This window comes from Homo sapiens, chromosome 7, assembly GCF_000001405.40.
Source record: "Homo sapiens chromosome 7, GRCh38.p14 Primary Assembly".
NCBI classification, from domain to species: domain Eukaryota; kingdom Metazoa; phylum Chordata; class Mammalia; order Primates; family Hominidae; genus Homo; species Homo sapiens.
Genome location: NC_000007.14, coordinates 138,026,349 through 138,034,582, shown reverse-complemented (window position 1 = coordinate 138,034,582; position 8,234 = coordinate 138,026,349). Strand labels below are relative to the sequence as shown.

Genomic DNA, 8,234 nt, shown 5'->3' with positions numbered 1-8,234 from the left:
AAAAAAATTAGCTGGGTGTGGCAGTGCATGCCTGTAATCCCTGCTATTCAGGAGCGTGAGGTGGGAGAATTGCTTGAACCCAGAAGGCAGAGGTTGCAGTGAGCCAAGATCGTGCCATTGCACTCCAGCCTAAGTGCCATTGCACTAAGCAACAGAGTGACTCTGTCTCAAAAAAAAAAAAAAAAAAAAAAATCAGGTAACACAATACAAAAGCAAGCAGATTATGATATGAGAGGACTTTGTCTGTTTAAACTCTTGGGGGTCATAAAAAAAACAGAGGTTTTGCCCCAAAAAGGAGTCTAGCACCTTCTGTTTTCTTCAAGGAAGCCCAGGCTGTTAGAAATTATTTTAGTTTGGCTGGGCATGGTGGCTCACACCTGTAATCCCAACACTGTGGGAGGCCAAGGCAGTCAGGAGTTCGAGACCAGTCTGGCCAACGTGGTGAAACCCTATTTCTACTAAAAATACAAAAAAATTGGCCAGGTGTGGTGGCAGGCACTTGTAATCCCAGCTACTTGGGAGGCTGAGGCAGGAGAACTGCTTGAACCCAGGAGGCAGAGGTTGCAGTGAGCTGAGATCACACCATTGCACTCCAGCCTGGGCAACTACAGCAAGACTCCATCTCGAAAAAAAAAAGAAATTATTTTAGTTCCCTCATGCAGCAGAGGGTGGCAAGAGGAAGGAGAGACAGGTAGAAGTAAATGGAGAAAACATAATTCAGTCAACTGCGAAGAAAAAAACCTTTTTCTCAAAAAACAAGACCCTAGAGAGAAAGAAAACATAAAGGCCTTTTAAATATATATATATACATTATACATATTATATTATGAATTTTATATTATAGATAATATATAAATATGAATTACATATTATATAGGTAATATATAAATATGAAAATGCACACAGAGACACATTTACATCTTGGATATTAGCTTTTAATTAAGCAGACTTTTAACCTTTGAGCTCTTAAAAAATCCTTTTAAATCTCAATACCATTTTTTAGCTGGGACAAACTACTGATATTTCAAAAGTAACAGAAATGTCAAGCCAGAGATAACCTGATTTAGGAACCAACCCAGGCTGTCATGGTGAAAAACAGGGTGGAATCTTAGCTACTGATTACAATGTGAAGTCATTGCTCTATCAGTTTGGCTTGGCTAGCAAAAGGTGGCCTAGTTATGCAAATGCAGTCCCTCAAGTAGTAAAACTCTTTCTTTTTTTGCTGGCCGTTTTTTTTCCCCCCCGGCTATGGGAATTTAGCTAATTCAGAGGCTTTGTTCCGCATAATTTGGAACTTTTTTTCAGACTTGATCAAGTTGGGTAGAGTTGGTCAAACCCGAAGGAAAAAGATCAAAACAACAACAAAAACAGAAACAAAAAACAGTTAGCAAAACAAACAATTGCATAATTTATACAATAACTGAATACTCTAATGGTAAGGAAAAATTAAGATCAGCTGGTTGTTAATGTTAACTTTAGTCATTAAGGAGAATTTCCAAGACAAAACCCAAATTCAGCTACTTATCTAGGAATGGGGCCCAGGCTGAAGACTGCGCTCTACCATCTTAGAAGCAGGAAAAATCTCAAACATTCCTTCCCTGTTGGAAGTGAGCTGAAGCTCCAGGAATGAGTTGGCTGCTCTCCATCGTCATGGAAGCAAAAAAGCTGGCCTTCTTGTTGGAAGTGAATAAAACTCCAGAAAAAGGAGTTGTACAGCAAAATAAACCTTAAATCGCAACCAAATTTGGGGAGATCAAGGATTCTGTGGAGGGGAGTAGCTCCCAGACCTCAGCAAAATGTCCTGTTGGTTTGAGCAATAAAGATATTCGTTCACGCTGGTACCAAGCACCAATAGGAGATTTGTCAAAGGTAAGGGACACCTCCACTCAGAGTCCCTTACCTGGGTTGCCAATTTATAAACCAAAAAGTATTCAAGAGAGGTCTCAATTGATTAGAACTTTATTTTGCCAAAGTGAAGGATGTGTGCCTGGGAGACAGGCCTGTTTCTTTCTCCAAAGATGATTTTGAGGGCTTCAGTACTTAAAGGGGAAAAGCAGGCTGGAGGAGACAGAGGGAGGATATGGTCACATTACTGAATCCACATGTTGTAAGAGAAAAAAAGTAGGTAGGGGAATAGTCAATTATGTATTCATCCTGTGCTCACTATACCATAAGGTGACCACAGAATAGCTACTTGTGGAGATTTTTAACTTATCTGTAGCTTGCTGCTTAGTAACAAAATGGAAAGTAGCTTCTTGCATGACTCAGTTTTCAGGTTAATTTTTTTTTCTTTTGGCAGAGTGAGTTGGGATCCCAACTTTCTACTTTCCTTTCACAGATCATATATTTAAATGTGAAAAGTAAAAATATAAAGCTGTTTGGGGCTCAGAAACCAATACCTCCAAGTATGGCATTTTGACTTGCTGAACTGAAAAAGCCTCAAGGTCTCTTTGACCTTCCCCTGTCCTCCACTGCCTCTCCCAAAGAAGCTGACGTTCCTTTATCTGCCTAGGATCCGGATCCAGCAAGGAGGACAGTTCTTTCTTCCGCTCCGTTATCTCATTATCTATTGCAGAAAAGACCCAGATGTGACCATACCTGAGAAGACGGTATAAAGACTGTCTCCAAGGATCATTTAAATTCCAAAGAAAATGATTTGCAAGTTGATCTCTGCTCCCCAATCCAATCATTCTCCCTATCAATTATTTATCGCCCCTCAGTGGAATTCCTCTTCTACCTGCTCCCATAATCTATGTTACCAGGGTACAAGCCCCCATTCTTTGTATAACTTCAAGACAGTATATAAGTTTCTATAACTCAAAAAGTTTCTATTACTCACTGGGAAGTTGGGTCTTCATTCTGAAGGCTCCTATGTAGACACATTGAATTAATTTTTATGTCTTTTCTCCTCTTAATCAGTCTGCTTCATGCCAGTGATTTTTCAATGAACCTTTAGTGGGTGAATGGCCATAGCCCCCACAACATGGCAGTGTGAGCAGGATGGTCAAAGCTATGCTTCTGTCCTGGAAGCTGCATTGAAGAGAAACCAGGAACCTGGGCAAAGGATTCCTTTACCCGGAACCCGGAAGCAAAGGGGTAAGAATTTCTTACCAGCCAGGGGGCCTCTCTCCCTCTGTGCACTCCAGCCGATGAGATGGTAAAAATCACTGGTTGTCTCCTCTACATGGTTTTGATCAATGGGAAAAAAGAATTTGTGTGACAAGCCTTGGGTTGTAGTGACTCTGGTGTACATGTGGTATGAATATTCATACTGTTTGACCCACTTCCCTCGCAGAAATAGCTTTTTTTGTTGCTCTTTTCCTTTGTCTTTTTCTTTCTGGGTTGTTCCGTCATAAAGAGGGGTACCGTAGGGGAGAACATGAGCCTAGAACCCCTTTAAACCCACTGTTCAAGAGCCTGCAGACTCATCAGTTTTCACAGTTCTATGTTGTCATCTGTAAAGACAAACTTTGCTGTAGGTCCCAGAAATAAAAATCAGATGAGAGTCCCCTCTCATCTTGTTTTATGGCCTTGAGAGCTTGATCTTGTGACTAGATGGGGGTACCCTCTCTTGGTCTCTGCCATCCGGACTGCATGATTTTTTTTTAAATTTTAACTTTTATTTTTGACACAAGATCTCATTCTGTCATCCAGGCTGGAGTGCAGTGGTGTGATCATGACTCACCAAAGCTTTGACCTCATCGGCTCAAGTGATCCTTCCACCTCAGCTCCCCAAGTAATTTGGATTATGGGCACGTGCCACAATGCCTGGCTAATTTTTTTTGATTTTGTGTAGAGATGGTATCTCATTATGTTGCCCAGGCTGGTCTCGAACTCCTGGGCTCAATGTTGGAGGTGGGGCCTGATGGGAGGTGACTGGATCCTGCCTCAGCCTCCCAAAGTGCTGGGATTACAGGCATTACACTGTGTCCAGGAAGAGGGCATGAATTTTTGGGTTCATATCAGGGGACCAGTCTGAAAGGACAGGGAGTCCAAGATGTAATATTTTAAGCAGCACACTCTTCATCTCAAGGGTGTCAAGCTCTTAGGGGAGTTTTGTCTTAAAAGGTCCCGTCTCTATGGGGCTTCTGTTGTGTAAACCAAAAAGTATCTGAGACAGGTCTCAATCAATTTAGAAGTTTATTTTGCCAAGGTTAAGGACATCCTTGGAAGAAATAAACATGGAATCACAGAAACAGTCTGTGGTCTGTGCCTTTCTCTAGCTGTGATTTTGAGGGCTTCAGTTTTTAAAGGGGAAAAGTGGGCTGGAGGGGAAAGAGGGAGGGTATGGTAATCCACATGTTGCAAGAGAAAAGCAGCAGGCAGGGGAATTTATGCATTCAATTTATGTATACAATTATGTATTTATCTCATGATCAGTAAATCAGCACTTTACATAAGATAAGGTGAACATAGAGTAGCTGCCTGAGGAGATGATTAACCTTTTATCTGCAGCTATCTGCTTAGGAACAAAAGGCAAGGCAACATCTTACATGACTCAGCTTTCAGGATAATTTTTTTCTTTTGGCATAATGAATTAGGGCCCCAAGTATTTATTCTCCTTTCACATTGTCTTTTGTTACTTTAAGTCTATTTCTGAGAGTAAGTTTTTAATGATCATGGGGATTGCTTCCTCGACGCCCTCCCCAGGAATACCTCTTGCTTATGTAGAAAAAAACCTGGAAAGTTACCACCTGGGCTTTCAAGAGGCTTTTGCATTGAGTTACTATTGGAACTAAGTACACCACTGAAAATAAAAAAGATTTTATACATTTCTTATTCTAAATAATTAATGGGAAAATCAAAAATTTTAAAAGGACATAGGCTAGTATCATGGCTAGCCTTAGAAATTCTCTTGATAAAATTAAAAAGAGTGAAAAAAAAAAGTTTTGACCTGAAAGTTAAAATCTTTTGCAAGTTCAAAACTGCCTGCTCTACATTCCCTCCGGGAAGATCAGTGGAGAGCACCTGATGTGGTTTGGATGTTTGTCCTCTCCAAATCTCACGCTGAATGTGATTCTCAAAGTTGGAGGTGGGACCTGGGCGGAGGGAGGGTGATTGGATTATAGGAGCAGATCCCCCATGAAGAGTTGAACACCATTCCCTTGGTGATAAGTGAGTTCTTAGTTCATGCAAGTTCTGGTTGTTTAAAAGAGTCTAGGATCTCTCTTCTTTCTCTCTCTCTCTCTCACTCACTCTTGGCATGTGACATGCTGGCTCCCTATCACCTTCTATCATCATTGTAAGTGTCCTGAGGCCTCACCGGAAGTAGATGCCAGCACCATGCTTCCTTTAAAGCCCGCAGAGCCATGAGCCAATCAAACCTCTTTTCTTTATAAATTACCCAGCCTCAGGTATTTCTTTATAGCAATGCAAATACAGGCTAATGCACCACCCCATGCCGTAGTACAGTAGCTAAGTCTCTCCCATTTGACTAATGCTGCGTGGGTTCAATACCCAGCCAGGGAATTGCCATTTATTGATCCTTTTTCCTTCCATGGACAGTTTCCGATTTCTCGTCCTGTGTTTTCCTTTCTCTGAGCTATCTCTAGGGTGATTCTGGATCGTGTAAAAATTGTTTGCCACCTCTTTGGAGATAACTCGTGCACCCATGATTAAGTCATAATTTTGATTGAGACCCTTAGAAAGATACCTTTGGTAAAGAAACTCAAAAGCCAAAAATATCGGCTGTTGTCCTGGGTAAAATCTGGTAACAGGAGACTTGAAAGAATTGTTTTTTTAAAGAGCTCTGTGGCTAAAAATCAGCTTAATTAAAAGCTGATATTCAAGTGTTCTCTCTCTGTCTCTCTCTCTCTCTATAAATATATACACATATATATATACGTGTGTGTGTGTGTGTGTGTGTGTGTGTGTGTGTGTGTATTTAAAAGGCCTTATACTTTTCTTCCCTTTTTTTTTATTCTATTTTTGGGAATTTTTTTTTTTCAGATGACTGAAACCTTTTTAAAGAACTCATGTGTTTGGTTTCTATGTTCACTTCCTTTTCTTAAAAATTGTTCTTCAAGTTAGTTTTATTTCACCCTATTCTTCATATATTGTAAATTCTAACAGCCCGAGAACCCTTAAGAAAAACAGAAAAAGGTGCCACAGACTCCTTTTTGGGAGCACCTGCTTTTTTTTCCTCTGGGAATCCCAAGTTGTAAATGGACATAGTCCTCTCAGATCTAAAACTGTTCTTTCTGTATTGTGTTATGTGGTCTTTTTGGCTTTTTGGGGTACCAGAAATTACTTTGCATTGCGCAAAAATAACCTTGGTGTATGTAATAGTTAAGTAAGAGATACACTCTTAGAGATGGCTAGTGGTAGTTACTTATAGTGAATGGTTATTACTCCAAGGTGCTACTTATTTTGTGGCACATTTGGAGGGGGAAAATGTGCTTTTGGGTATTTAAAAGCTACGTAAATACCCCCACTCCCCAATAAGGGATAAGACTCCCATGGGGGATGGCCTGATCACACAGTGGGCTGATCAGTGTTGAGCTGTCCACCAATCTTGGGAGAATGTCCCTGCAGTGGAGTGTATTGTAAAAGCATTGCACTGTCACATTCCACTGTATCCCCCTCTTTTTGGGGACCCAAGATTCAATGTAAAATGGGATCCTTGATTTTGGGGCATCTGTGTTCTGCCTTCCAGCTTTGCCTACTTGTTGCATATTTAAATATTAAAGCTGCATGCTTTCCTGGCCCTTTCCTTACCGAAAACCAGTTATCTACATAGGAAATAAGTTAAGTTAAAAAGCCAAAATACAGGCAGAGCCCAGTGGCTCACATCTGTAATCCCAGCACTTTGGAAAGTCAAGGTGGGAGAATCACATGAAGCCAGGTGTTTGAGACCACCCTGGGCAACATAGTGAGACCCCACCTCTACCAAAAGAATTTAAAAATTAGCTGGGCATGGTGGCATGCCCTGTAGTCTTATAACCAAAGTGGAGGCTCAGCTGCTCACTGCCAACAGAGTCCATTGAATAAGAGTGAGGTCTGGTATAAAGAAAGTGATATTTTATTCTGAAGCTAGCTTAGGGGAAGAAGTTATAACGCTTCCTGCCTGAGGGTACCACTTTTCTTTTGGATCAGAAAGCAAGCACTATTAAAGGGGGCTTAGCATTAATGGCACAAGGGGTGGGAGGAAGTGAGCAGGTGAGGGGTTGGCATGTTAGCTTAGTGCCATATCTACCAGGTGATCGAGCTGGTGACTGCTGGTGTCTCCATGGGCAGGCATAGTTTGGGTTGTAAATTGACTGTTATCTCTCGAGGCAACCTCCTGGTGGGTGAGATTTCCTTCCTGGAGCTCCTAAGCATATAGTTAGGTGAATTTGCCCTGTAGGGAATGTCTGGTGAAGGGGAGGTAAAAGGCTATTAAAATTTAGAAATCTGCATTTCTAAAGGACTAAGTAAAAAGTGGGGAAAGGAGGAAAAAGAAAAGGAGAGAAAGAAAACAAATAAACTATTTCTTAGGAAAATGGGAGTACTTGGTTACAATTCCCCACTACCAAGTTCCCTTCCATCTCTGTGAAATTGGGGTACTGTATTTATTCTGGCTACTTCCTGCTGAAAGACAGTGTAGTTATTGGGTATTGGTATGGAATTGATCTGTTTGGATTTGGAAATATTCATGAATACCTGGACTTTACAGATGATATTCGTTGGACCATTATGGTGCAAGTTCCGGAAAGTCTCTGGGGAAAGCCCGTCTCGCATTCCCATATGGAGGGTGCAGCAGCAGTAAACTCCACAACAGAGGGATATGCCTATCCTTGAAATCAGGGCGAATGTTACAGCCAGCTTTTGCTACCAGGATGGTACTGACCTGAGTCAGGACAGTAATCACTGGTCTAGTGACAATGTGGAGTCAGACAAAGCTTTGATTTGTTGGTATGTATCTTGCAGGGCTATCTGAGACATTTCCCAAATTTACTGGGATGTATACACAGCAGTTAGTCTTAATTATCATACAGGTTGTCCACTGCCCATCATAACTGGATATAATGACAGGTTGGCTAAATATGTATTTAACAGGTTACAGGAAGAGCTATGAATACTCATGAACATTGTCATAAGCACTGTCTAGTTCTTGAGAATGGATCAGTTTAGTTAAATATCTGTGTCCCATCCAGGAGGTGGCATTGCAGGTGGGCTAGGCCTCTACATGTGATAAAGGCAAACAGATTATTAATAAGAGTCATTTCTATGGAGACAGAAGAAAAACAAAGGTT

At 41.1% G+C, this 8,234-nt stretch overlaps 1 annotated feature.

Moving 5' to 3' along the window:
* Positions 2,144–3,343: an enhancer, noted in NCBI's record as "MED14-independent group 3 enhancer chr7:137715986-137717185 (GRCh37/hg19 assembly coordinates)". NCBI's record gives its function as "activates an origin of replication core promoter dependent on BRD2, BRD4, P300/CBP and CDK7 cofactors, and independent of MED14, by STARR-seq in HCT116 cells {active_cell/tissue: HCT116}" and the evidence as "EXISTENCE:reporter gene assay evidence [ECO:0000049][PMID:35650434]".